Here is a 12,887-nt window from a genome sequence, read left to right on the forward strand (position 1 = left end):
ATGTTTGAGGTGACAGGTATCCCAGTTACCCTGATGAGATCATTACCCATTGTTCACATGTATCAAAATATTACATGTGCCCCCCGAAATAGGTACAACTATTATTTATCAATTAGAAAAACACTAAAAACTTTTAAAAATTTAATTAAAAAGTATAATGAATACTGCCATGGAGAATTCCTGGTCTACGAACACAGTACTAGTCCTAAAACTAGACAGGCTGGTCCATCTCAAAGGGTCATGTAACTAACTACCTGTTGTGGGTTTGTGAAGTAAGTCACAGATGGCAAACTGTGAGGTTTAACTGGGGCCTCTGAGGATCCGGGAATGTGACGTGAATATGAAACCAACGTACCCAGCGGGACAACAAGAGGTACAGCTTTTCAGGCTAACTCCAGGAAAGTCCTTGTCTTACAGAGGCACAAGGGAACCTCATTTCTCCTAAAGCCCCTAGACAACAGATATGTTTTCCCCAAACTGCCATTCTTTTTGATATAGCCAAGATTTTAAACATCACCAGTTTTAGATATCACAGGGAAGCTGCTGGATTTAATGAAGCCTCAAGATGTCCCCTGAGAGATGATTATAACTCTAATTAAAAATGGGGGGTGATGGACAAGAATCCCCTGGGACTCTAAGCAACTGGCATTTGTGCATCTTTTTTCATGGAGAAGATGACTTTTTAATGTCAGTTTGGGCTCTTTCCAGGAGTCAAGGATAGTGTCCCCAAAGTCTAATACATTTTGAGATTTAATGTGGTTCAAGGATCAGGAAATGTCTTAAATTGTAAGGGACAAAGAAGTTTACAAGCCAAGCCAAACTTTCATTTCTCTCTCTTTTTTTTTTTTCTGAGATGGAGTCTCGCTCTTGTCATCCAGGCTGGAGTGCAGTGATATGGTCTTGGCTCACTGCAACCTCCAGCTTCCCGGGTTCAAATGATTCTCCTGCCTCAGCCTCCTGAGTAACTGGGATTATAGGCATCCACCACCACGCCTGGCTGATTTTGTATTTTTAGTAGAGATGGGGTTTCTCCATGTTGGCCAGGCTGGTCTCGAACTCCTGACCTCAGGTGATTCACCCGCCTTAACCTCCCAAAGTGCTGGGATTATAGGCGTGAACCACTGCACCTGGCCTAAACTTTCATTTCATTTTTTTTTTTCTTTTTTTTTGAGAGAGGGTCTCCCTCTGCCACCCAGGCTGGAGCACAGCGGAGTGATCATAGCTCACTGCGGCCTCAAACTCCTGGGCTCAAGCAATCCTTCCACCTCAGCCCTCTGCACGGCTGGGATCACAGCTGTGTGCCACCATGCCCAGCTAATTTTTGTATTTTGTATTTTTCGTAGAGATGGGGTTTCACCGTGTTACCCCAGCTGGTCTCAAACTCCTGGGCTCAAGCGATCCACATGCCTCAGTCTCTCAAAGTGCTGAAATACAGGCATGAACCACTGTGCCTGCCACATTTCTTTTATTTCATATACCTGTACTTACCATCTCCATGATTGCATGAAGCCTAGAATATAAGAAACCACCTAAATGAATTCTATCTGCATGTCGATTCTAGGTATGGATAAGAACAAAGGAGAAATGAGTGTGGCAGAATGAGGATTAGAGTTCCATGCTCAGGCAAGTTTTTGGGGATCAGGTAGGTACGGCAGGTCACAGTAGGTAGTGAGGGCATGGATCCAGGTAACTAAATGAGAGTTAAAACATTCTCAGGTACATCCTGAAGTTCAAGGCAGGAGATCAGAGAGACTGAGACACCAGTGTCAGAAAGCAGACCACTGACAGGAGCTCATCTTATCACAAGAAGTCTGGTCTTCTAACCTCATAGTGCTGGCCATGCCCACTACTCATTGGACAGTCTTGACCCTACATAGATCCTGAAAGGGAAGTCAGACTGTTTAGTATCCATGGTGGGGGTCCAGGGCAGGTGGCAGCCAGAGAAAGCACGAGGCAGAAAGGCACAGCTCGTTGAAGGCCTTAGGATTGGATGGGGCCTCTGCATTTGAACTTAACATAGCCCTGGGTGAGGATCTCAGTAGCCTCAGACAGACACTCACTTCCAAAGGCAAAGGTAATGTTACACCTTTTTTTAAATTTTAATTTTAATTAATTAATTGATTTTTTGAGACAGAGTCTTGCTCTGTCGCCCAGGCTGGAGTGCAGTGACGCGATCTCAGCTCACTGCAACCTCCGCCTCCCAGGTTCAAGCAATTCTCCTGCTTCAGCCTCCCGAGTAGCTGGGATTACAGGTACCTGCCACCACCCCCAGCTAATTTTTGTATTTTTAATAAAGACGAGGTTTCACTCTGTTGGCCAGGCTGGCCTCAAACTCCTGACCTCAGGTGATCCACGTAAAGTGGATCCTAAAGTGCTGGGATTACAGGCGTGAGCCGCTGCACCCGGTCTAATGTTATACCTTTAGATTGTGTCCTTGCATCTCATTACTCCATGAACATATTTTTACCGAGGAAAAATCAAACAGCACAGAGCTGGGCCACCATGAAGCCAACTGTGTCACCGAACAAGGGTCTAATGCAAGCAACATCAGGGATGCCACTGTGATTAAGTGATGGATGCAGTGACCACACTATCCATTGACCCTGCACTGACTGGCATGAATCAGGGCAGGTCTCTGACAACAGGAATCCTGTGATTCAAGATTCATCCCTGGATAGGATGAATGTACCAGGGAAGGCTCTCATCCTTGCAGACACAGAGCCTGAGGCACCATGCTGCCCTGGGAGACTGACCTGCAGGCTTTACTAATGATCGTCAAGCCTTTTGTTAATGACTGGCAAGATTTGAAGATTCCCCTATTAGTGTTCAAGGCTGGGGAATTATCTGTAGGATATAAGGATGAAGAAATATTCCTGAACCGAAGCTGTGCTTGCTTTAAGGCTAGTGGCCCCCAAGCTCATCTCCAGTCTTGATTGCTTCCCAGATCCTACACACAATGCACAAAATACCTACCTGTGATGCCCAAATAGGGCATGTGTCCTCTCCTGACAATGCCTTGCCTGCAACAATATCAACCCCTCCAGGCTGAGGCACTTTTTTTCCTAATCCGTGCTCTCCAAGTTCACTGTAATAACTGTATTTAAACTATATCTGTGGGGCCGGGCTTGGTGGCTCACACCTGTAATCCCAGCACTTCGGGAGGCCAAGGTGGGCAGATCCCTTGAGCTCAGGAGTTTGAGACCAGCCTCTGCAACATGGGGAAACCCCATCTCTATGAAAAATACAAAAATTAGCCAGCATGGTGGCATGCGCCCATGGTCCCAGCTACTCAGGAGGCTGAGGTGGGAGGATGGCTTGAGCCTGGGAGGCGGAGGTTGCAGTGGGCTGAGATGGTGGCACTGCACTCCAACCTGGGTGACAGAGACCCTGTCTCAAATTAAGTAAATAAATAAATAAAGTACATTTGTTGTTGTGTACTTGGTTATCTTTTTCATAAGGCAAAAAGTATTCTGAGCTCAGGGACCATTTGTTTAAATATATGAGTGCCACGTGCTTATCACAGTGCCTATCACATAGTATTTGCTCAATAAATGTCTATGGAAGCAAGAAAGGGAGGGAAAGCGGGCTGGATGTTAAAGAAGCAGTAAAGGGTGGGGCGTGGTGGTTCATGCCTGTAATCCCAGCACTTTGGGAGGCCAAGGCAGGCAGATTGCTTGAGCCCAGGAGTTCGAGACCAGCCTGGGCAACATGGTGAAAACTGGCCTCTACAGAAAAAAAAAAAAACAAAACAAAAAACATACAAAACATTAGCCAGGTGTACTGGTGTGCATCTGTAGTCCTAGCTACTTGAGAGGCTGAGGTGGGAGAATCACTTGAGCCCAAGAGGTCAAGGCTGCAGTGAACCATGATTGCACCACTGTACTCCAGCCTGGGAGACAGAGTAAGATCCCATATTGAAAAAAAAAAAAAAAAAAGGCAAGGCATGGTGGCTCATACCTGTAATCCCAGCACTTTGGGAGGCTGTGGCTAGCGGATCACAAGGTCAGGAGATAAAGACCATCCTGGCTAACACGGTAAAACCCCGTCTCTACTAAAAATACAAAAAATTAACCAGGCATGGTGGCGGGTGCCTGTAGTCCCAGCTACTCGGGAGGCTGAGGCAAAAGAATGGCATGAACCCGGGAGGTGGGGCTTGCAGTGAGTGGAGATCACGCCACTGTACTCCAGCCTGGGCGGCAGAGTGAGACTCCGTCTCGGAAAAAAAAAAAAAGAAAGCGGGGAAAAAAAAAAAAGCAGTAAAGACCACTAATCAGGCAGCCAGCAGTGTCACGCTTTTCCAAAAGGGGCATTGGCAGTAAGCCTGGGAGAGACAACCTTATGGAGATCAACAAAGGAGTTGGCAATGGCTTTCAGTGGCTGCAGGGCTGTGATTCCCACTGTGCCTATTGGCGGAACCCCAGGGAATCCCTCTTTCTTGGATCAGCCAGGGACTTACCTTCCTCGAAGGCCAGCACACACTCCTGTGCTGGCGACACTTCTGCAGAGCTGGCCAGCAGTAGCCTGAGGTTGGCTATGTCAAATGGTCCCTAGCATCTCAGAGACTGAGCCTTGCTCAATCCCATCTTTATCCTGTCAGTTTCCTCTGAGGACCCTGATATTTGATATTATGACCCCAAATAGTTAACCTTAGTTGTGGTGAATTGCATTCATTTATTTTACGATCTTCATGGGATGAAAGAGTTTGTCGAGCTGAGTCTTCATTCAGAAATTCGCAAAATATAGCATTTGACAGTGCCACTTAATTTTCAAAATACTATCCAATGGCCACAAGGATCACTGTAGCTGAAAACCCTGAGAATATCTATAAGGGTATTTCGAGACGCTAGAATGTGATGACATAGGTCTCTTCTACTTTCCCCTCACCTTAGCAAACCAATACATTCAGTATTCAGGATATTCAACAGAACATTCAGCACATATCCTTAACTGCTCTTAGAAATTGGTTCTGCCGATATATTAGCTATTCAGAGAAAGTGCTTTTAAGTTCATTGTTGAACATAGTGATGTAGTGTCTTGCAATCACAGAATCAACGAATGTTTGAGCTCGAAGATTTCTTATAGACAGGCTAGTGTGAATTAAGGACACTAATGCCCAGCTAAAAAGGGAAAGTCACTTAGTAACTTGCCCAAGAACACGCAGCTAGTGCGTAGTTGAACCAGACTTGAAAGCAAACATCATGATCATAAGCCACCTTTCTGCCACTGCGTGTTGATGGTATGAAGATACCATATATATATTTACACATGCACACACAAAAAAGGATAAAGTCTTGCATCACATAGAGCCAGTTGTCTGAAGAAACTGTCAGCCCTACTGAAACAATATCCCATTTAAGTTTAAGACAGCCTGGTGAGGCCCAGAGCCTCACCAGTCCCCCAGAAAACGGAGTATTGTTTCCATCCAAACCTTGCACTGAAAGGAGCCTGTCAGCAGGAAGTGACCTCGTGAGACAACTGTGGGGAGAGCAAAGGGCCGGGGAGAGAAAGGCCTCATTCTCACTGCAAACAGGAAAAGGAAAGAGAAAAAGCAAGCTCTGTCTCCACACAAGGTTTGCTGGGCTGGCTATGAACTGTTCCAGTACGTTCCATCAAATAGACGCCTTCATAGAATCAAGCCGAGCGCGAACGCCGTGTCTGGGGCTCCCACTCCCGGGACACACACGCGGGCTGGCTTACACATGCTCTTGCTCTCTCGCGCTCTGGGAGAGCGCTTATATGGGCTTCATGAGGCTAAGTAATAAACACTTTGTCTTCACCCTGCTATTTATGGGTTGCTTGGGGCATCCTGTGCTCTCCACTGCCCTTACCTGAACAGACGGCTCATGCAGACCCGGAGTTTAATAGGGACAACAGTAAATCTGAGAGGCTGTGTGTGTCCCACGCGCTCCTGTTTTCCCAGCCACCCATGCTAGTTGCAGAGAAAAGCCAACCTGTATCCCTTCGTTTATGCTCTGTGTGCCCTTCCTGGAGGTGAAATCCCTTCTCCTTTTTCTTCGGGCCCTTGTTTTCTTCCATCCTTTCAAACATCTCTCTAACATATCCTTTTGCTATTTGACCCCTCCCAGAGATCCCTTCATTCTTCAGCAATGGATCAAAGAACTCTGAAAACAAGAACAACCCCGACAGCTGCAAACCACGAGCCCTCACCTCCAGCAGAGGTTTTCGGGAAACTCTGGACGACCACGCGCATGCAGAGGTAAGGGAATGATCCGGTCCTACCTGGCGTTGACTTCCAGGTTCACTCAAAGGCCACGTGCCACCCTTTGCACATCGTGTTTGGGTTGCAAAGGGGAAAGATGCATATTGAAAGCCAGAAGTGTGCCCAGGCCAACAGACGTCTGAAAGCCACAGGGGACGACCCTGAAAAAGTCTGGCAGATGCAGAACCACAGCTGATCACTTTGGTCCGTTTGAGGGCCCCTTTCGCTCAGCTCTTTTGGGGGTTCCAGGGCTCTCAGAGCTTCCAGGTCCTGTAAGAAGAGATGGAGTCATAGCTGCGCCCTGTCCACTCTCGGGCTGTCACACAAGCCTGGAGCCCAGCCATTTCTCGGCCTTGTCTTCATCTTGGGCTAACCGGTCGTCTCCTGCAAACAGACAGCACGGAGAAGGATGAGTGAACTCGGCCTCTCCCCACAGAATACAGTTCGCCATTACAGCGCTGATTAAATACAGGACATTATCTCACCATAATGCCCTCCTGGCGGCGTTCCCAGGAAAATTCTAACTAATCATAAAAATAGAAAGAAAAACGCAACCTAAATTCCATTCCTCGTCTTAAATGAGTGATGTGTTCACTTTTATTTATTTTTCTGGAAGCGAGGCGGGAAAAGAAAATGAATTTTAGGGCTTAGAAAAACAAGCTACTAATAGTACTAAGTAGAGCTGGGGCGGTGGTGCAGACAGCTTAGCTCTAGCAGGGATGTAGCCGGCATGGCACGGGTGAGTCCTGGCCCTGCTCCTGGCTGAAAACTTAAGAGTTTAGAACTGGAGCACCTGGCAGGGCAAAGGCAGGATGGGGTGAGGGAAAGTTGTGGGGTTGAGTGTGGACCCCCCCAACCCCCTACAAATGCACACACAAGCTAGGCGCTCAATAGCTTTCTTATAGCCCAGGTAGGCAAATCCTCTTCCAATATACCTTTGAAAATAATGCCTGATCTTTCTCCAGCAGCATTCTTTTTGGAAACACAGGCATAGTTTAGGTATTTTTCTCCCTGGAAGGTTCTTTCCTGGAAGTTCACCCAATTAATTCCTACTCACACATTTTAGAGATCTGAACAGTAAGAAGCCTTCTCTAAGAACCCCTACCCTGACTCCAGTCCAGGGGCTGGTCCTGTAAACCTTCTCTTCATAACAGCCATGTGACTGTAATTAATGCAATAACTGCATAGTTGATTGTTTAACATGGTTGTCTGTCCCCTCCCTTAGATTAAAAATGTGTTTGTCTTATTCCTGACTTTGTAAGTACTAGGTACAAAGTAGCTGCCCAATACATGCCTGTGTTGGATGAGTGCTGACGGGTCACGGTGGGCGCCAAAGTGGATGGTACCTTATGCTACTTCGGTGGGGCTCAGGTGTAGCAGCAACAAACACATGTAGAACCAGATCACGGTGGGTCCACACCAACAAGGACCAAGGACCAAGCTCCTCCCTAACAATTTCTGCTCCTTCCTCCTGTGAAGTGTTTTTTGTCGTTGTTGTTGCTGTTGTTATTTTTTGATGGAGTCTTGCTTTTTTGCCCAGGCTGGAGTGCAGAGGTACGAACTTGACTCACTGCAGCCTCCACCTTCTGGGTTCAAGTGATTCTCCTGCTTCAGCCTCCTGAGTAGCTGGGACTGCAGATGTACACCGTCATGTCCGGCTAATTTTTGTATTTTTATAGAGATAGGGTTTTCCTCATGTTAGCCAGGCTAGTCTCAAACTCCTGACCTCAGGTGATCTGCCCACCTCAGCCTCCTAAAGCGTTGGGATTACAGGCATGAGCCACTGTGCGCAGCTCCTTCTGTGAAGTCTTCATAGATAAACCATGGGAGAGTTAAAAATCCTGAAAACCAGCTTCTGAAATGCTTATCTTTTTTTACTTTTTATTTTAAATAGAGACAAGGGTCTTGCTGTGTTGCCTAGGCTGGTCTCAAACTCCTGAGCTCAAGTGATCCTCCCACTTTGGCCTCCCAAAGTGCTGGGACTACAGGCATGAGCCACTGCGCCTGGCTCTGGGATGCTTCTCTTAATATTATACTGGATGAAAAGAAAATAAAAGACATCCCACACCCATCTTGCCTCTCCCTGTCCCCAGTCTGGCATAAGAATCCCACACTGCCAGCCCCCATCTTAGCTACTGCTGAAGTAATGGGCACTGCTACTAGATGGCAAAGTTCTAGCTGGGCTAATTAAGCAGACTGAGCTAATAACCTTCCATTTTGGGACTGGTGTTATTCATAATTTAATGTATTGCTGCTGAAACATTAACCTTTCGACAACTGGCATGTTGCCCACAGCGGCCCAAGTGCTGACCATCTTTCAGTAAAATGAGTATTATTGTTAAAACAGGTATAAATCATTCATGGCTGCAGCTTTTGTGTCAGACCTTACGTGAAAGTACGCAGTAAGCTGGGTAATTTATTTACTTTTTGGTGATTATTTTTTATGATTTTATCATCATATTCAATGATTCATAAACATTGGCCTGATGCCATTTGGTAATCATTTTACATTTTAAATATTGTGTGGCTGTTCTGCTTTTCATCTTTAAAAACTTCAGGATTGATACCGGGCAACTTAATTCAGACACAAATGCAATTTCATTTGAAAGAAGGCGGTGGGTGGAGGGGGAAAAGAATCCCGGCCCCTTCTTTTTAATAAACCATTTTCAACAGAGCTGTTAGGAGCTTCCACTTGTTACAACATTGCACTTACTGTAGCAAACTTTCTTTGAAGTTTAACACACAGAGGGTGCCTTGAAATCTGAATAAAAGCACAGGAAAACAGTTAACAAGCTTCTGGTTGGAAAGACGATGTGATTGAGCCAAGGGTGGAGAGGGGCCTGGAGATGCTGGCCCCGGGCCAAGAAGGTTGGAAGCCACTAGCCCTCCTCCCAGCACCTGGTTGGGGAATGTGATTACAGTCCCCCAGGGACCTGGAAACTCTTTACTGCCTGCCTGCCTGCCTGCTCCGGCTGCCTGCCCCGAATTGGGCTCCTATAACTGTTCCAGAAAGTAGCTTTTGCTCCTTATGACTCCCAGTGCTGGAGACCGGGTGGTGGCTGGGTCTTTCATGGTCTGGGAGCTCAGGGGATCTCCCTCCATCTCGTAGGCGCTCTTACAGCAGCCCTGCACATTTCCTAAACCAATGAAAACTCAGAGGTCTTCGTATGCAATAGCTGAAGCCGAACTTCTTTATTTTTTTTTTTGAGACAGAGTCTCACTCTGTCACCCAGGGTGGAGTGCAGTGATGCGATCTCAGCTCATTGTAACCTCCACCTCCTGGGTTCAAGCGATTCTTGTACTTCAGCCTCCCAAGTAGCTGGGATTATAGGTGTGCACCATGAAGCCCAGCTAATTTTTTTTTTTTTTTTAGTAGAGACGGGGTTTCACCTTTTGGCCAGGCTGGTCTCAAACTCCTGACCTCAAGGGATCCACCTGCCTCAGCCTCCCCAAATGCTGGGATTACAGGGGGATTGCAGGCACAAGCCACCATGCCCGGCATTGAAGCTGAACTTCTGATGGTGGGAAGGGAGTGGGACAGGAGAAGGCAGAGAATGGGGCATCATGTTAAAACTCTTCTTCAAGGCAGAAGTATGCCCGGGAGTAAGCTTGCCTTTAGAACCTCATTTCATGTCAGGTGTGCTGGGACAGAGGGGAACTCAGTCAAGAAGACTGGCACCTTTGCCCAAAACACAGGAGATGAGATCTTAAAACACAGCCATAAGTATGTGCTGTAAAGAAACGGCCACAGGGAAAGCCAAGGCAAGAGGAGAAATATTTTTTCTTTGCATCTCATCTCATCTCTTCTCTTCTCTTTCTCTGTCTCTCTCCCCCTCCTTCCCTCCCTTCCTTCTTTCGAGGTGGGGTCTTGTTCTGTCACCCAGGCTGGAGTGCAGTGGCACCATCACAACTCTCTGCAGCCTCAACCTCCCAGGCTCAAGCAGTTCTTCTGCCTCAGCCTCCCAAGTAGCTGGGACTAGAGGTGCTTGCCTCCTCACCACACCCAGCTAATTTTAATTTTTTTTTTTTTTTTTTGTAGAGACAGGACTTGCTCTGTTGCCCAGGATGGTCTTGAACTCCTGTTCTCAAGCAATCCTCCCCACTTGGCCTCCCAAAGTGCTGGCCATACAGGCATGAGCTGCTGAGCCTGGCCTAGAAAGATTTCTTTCTGGACAGTTTGAATAGGGTTAGCTCTGAGACAGCTCTTACTGTCTTTTCTAACTTGTTTATGTAATTTCCCATGAATAGCTTTCATGACTTTTCAACTGGATTATCTGGTTTTAGGTTTTACCTGGATTTATATATACATATGTCTCAAGTTATTTAATTTTTCATTGTGTTAAAATATAGACAACATAAAATTTGCCATTTTACCCATTGTTCAGTGTACAATTCAGTGCTGTTCATCACACTGGCAGTGTTGTGAGACTATGGCCACGATCTCTTTCCAACATTTCTCGTCACTCTAAACGTAAACTTTTTACCCATTAAGCAATAAGTCCTATTCCCTCTTTCCCCGTCCCCGTGGCCCCTCCAGCCCCTGGAAACCTCTCATCTACTTTCCGTCTCTATGAATTTGCTATTCTGAACATTTCACATAAATGGCGCTGTACAATATTTGTCCCTTTGTATCTGGCTTCTTTCACTGAACATAATGTTTTCAAGGTTCATCCATGTCATAAGATGTATCTAACCTTAATTCATTTTATACCAAATAATATTCCACTGTATGGATATACCACATTATGTTTATCCACTCCCCTGTTGATGGACGCTTGGGTTGTTAGTCTCTTTGGCTATTGGAATAATGTTGCTGTCAACATGAGTGTACAAGTATCTGCGTCCCTTGTGTATCTATTTTTTTTTTTTTTGAGATGGAGTCTCGCTTTGTCACCCAGGCTGGAGTGCAGTGGCACGATCTCAGATCACTGAAACCTCTGTCTCCTGGGTTCAAGCGATTCTCCTGCCTCAGCCTCCTGAGCAGCTGGGACTACAAGCATGGGCCACCAGACCCAGTTAATTTTTTTGTATTTTTAGTAGAGACAGGGTTTCACCATATTGGCCAGGCTGGTCTCGAACTCCTGACCTCGTGATCCACCCGTCACAGCCTTCCAAAGTGCTGGGATTACAGGTGTGAGCCACCGTGCCCCACCTGTTTTGTCTTTGAGATGGAGTTTTGCTCTCTCACCTAGGCTGGAGTGCAGTGGCATGATCTTGGCTCACTGCAACCTCTACCTCCTGGGTTCAAGTGATTCTCCTCCCTCAGCTTCCTGAGTAGCTGGGATGACAGGCACATGCCACCACACCCGGATAATTTTTGTATCTTTAGTAGAGATGGGGTTTTGCCATGTTGGCCAGGTTGGTCTTGAACTCCTGACCTCAGGCGATCCTCCTACCCTGGCCTCCCAAAGTGTTGGGATTACAGGCGTGAGCCACTGCACCTGGCTGTATATCTATGTTTTGACCATCACATTTTTTTTTTCATCTGATCTACCTTTATCTTGGATGCTCTGTTTGCTAGCTTGGCAGAGCCAGCGTGGGCACACGTGGCAAAGCCATTTATGCCTGGGAATTCCTCTCTGACTGTCAACGCCGCCGCTTCAAAGGACTTCTTGCAGTCATCCTCTGGCATTGCCACGGCTGGTGCTGGTTGTGAATTCTGCACCAGCAACCTCCACCCCCTACATTGGACTTGATAAAACAAGCTGCTTCTCAGGTATGCTAAAGAACAAATTAAGAAACAGAATCACCTGGGATGAGTGAAATTCCCTTTCAATCATGTCAGCCGGAGCAGAGGTTGTCATGAAATTTGATGTTAGGGATTTATTTCCTAATATACAGTCTAAAAGGGAAAACAGTGTAAGAGCTGAAATGTGAATTGGACATGTCTATAGAGTGTGAATTGGATTCAAGACAAAATATTGTGAATGGTTAATAGGGTCAGTCTAAGTACACTTCCTGAAATAATCTCTTGGATATGCAAATATTCTGAGAGCTACACTGTCAAATAGCTATTGTATCCTCTTATCTATGTGTTCACAGAACGGCTACATGTTATAACAAATGAAAAATGTGAATTTAAAAAATAATGCCACCCTAAAATAATACTTTACTTTGAATAGCAATTTTTGTTGTCGGAGTTTTTTATTTTTGTCACACCAGACAGTTAGGTTCTTACCACAGCTTTATTTGGAAACATTAAGAGATGAGCTCTGGCCGGGCACAGTGGCTCACACCTGTAATCCCTGCACTTTGGGAGGCTGAGGCAGGTGGATTACCTGTGGTCAGGAGTTTGAGACCAGCCTGGCCAACATGGTGAAACCCTGTCTTTACTAAAAATACAAAAATTAGCTGGGTGTGGTTGCAGGCACCTTTAATCCCAGCTACTCAGGAGGCTGAGGCAGGAGAATAGCTTGAACCCTGGAGGCAGAGGTTGCAGTGAGCCGAGATCACACCACGGCACTCCAGCCTGGGCGACAGAGTGAGACTCCATCTCAAAAAAAAAAAAAAAAAAAGAGAGAGAGAAATGAGCTCTGTGTGTCCTGCTCTCAGGAGGAACAGACGTGGGGTGGGAAGGGGAAGGAGAAAGCAGGAACAGGCCAAATGTTCAGAGTCATCTGGGTCATCGAGTCTACCATATGCATCAGCCATGCCTTGGATTATCTTG

The 12,887-nt window shown here is 46.3% G+C and overlaps 1 protein-coding gene and 1 long non-coding RNA gene across 3 annotated transcripts in view, besides 2 other annotated features; one reads left to right on the forward strand and one right to left on the reverse strand.

Annotated features, from left to right (window-relative positions):
- Window positions 1-12,887, reverse strand: part of ZFHX3 (zinc finger homeobox 3) — a 1,109,046-nt gene that overhangs the window by 304,110 nt on the left and 792,049 nt on the right. Inside the window, exon 8 of one of the 2 annotated variants that reach the window (NM_001386735.1) lies at window positions 6,241-6,604. The gene's annotated coding sequence lies outside the window, so the exon portion shown is untranslated. Of the gene's footprint in view, window positions 1-6,240; window positions 6,675-12,887 lie in introns of those variants that run through there. The other variant, XM_047434166.1, reaches the window with a different exon arrangement.
- On the forward strand, window positions 5,355-6,780 carry HCCAT5 (hepatocellular carcinoma associated transcript 5). Its single transcript, NR_027756.1, has 3 exons — window positions 5,355-5,991; window positions 6,087-6,217; window positions 6,470-6,780. It is a non-coding gene; the product is annotated as a hepatocellular carcinoma associated transcript 5 (long non-coding RNA).
- Window positions 5,959-6,459: an enhancer, noted in NCBI's record as "H3K4me1 hESC enhancer chr16:73126852-73127352 (GRCh37/hg19 assembly coordinates)". NCBI's record gives its function as "activates a minimal SCP1, AML or CMV promoter by ChIP-STARR-seq in naive H9 embryonic stem cells {active_cell/tissue: H9 hESC(naive)}" and the evidence as "EXISTENCE:reporter gene assay evidence [ECO:0000049][PMID:30033119]".
- Window positions 6,460-6,960: an enhancer, noted in NCBI's record as "H3K4me1 hESC enhancer chr16:73127353-73127853 (GRCh37/hg19 assembly coordinates)". NCBI's record gives its function as "activates a minimal SCP1, AML or CMV promoter by ChIP-STARR-seq in naive H9 embryonic stem cells {active_cell/tissue: H9 hESC(naive)}" and the evidence as "EXISTENCE:reporter gene assay evidence [ECO:0000049][PMID:30033119]".

The sequence above is a fragment of the Homo sapiens genome, chromosome 16 (genome assembly GCF_000001405.40).
Source record: "Homo sapiens chromosome 16, GRCh38.p14 Primary Assembly".
NCBI lineage: Eukaryota > Metazoa > Chordata > Mammalia > Primates > Hominidae > Homo > Homo sapiens.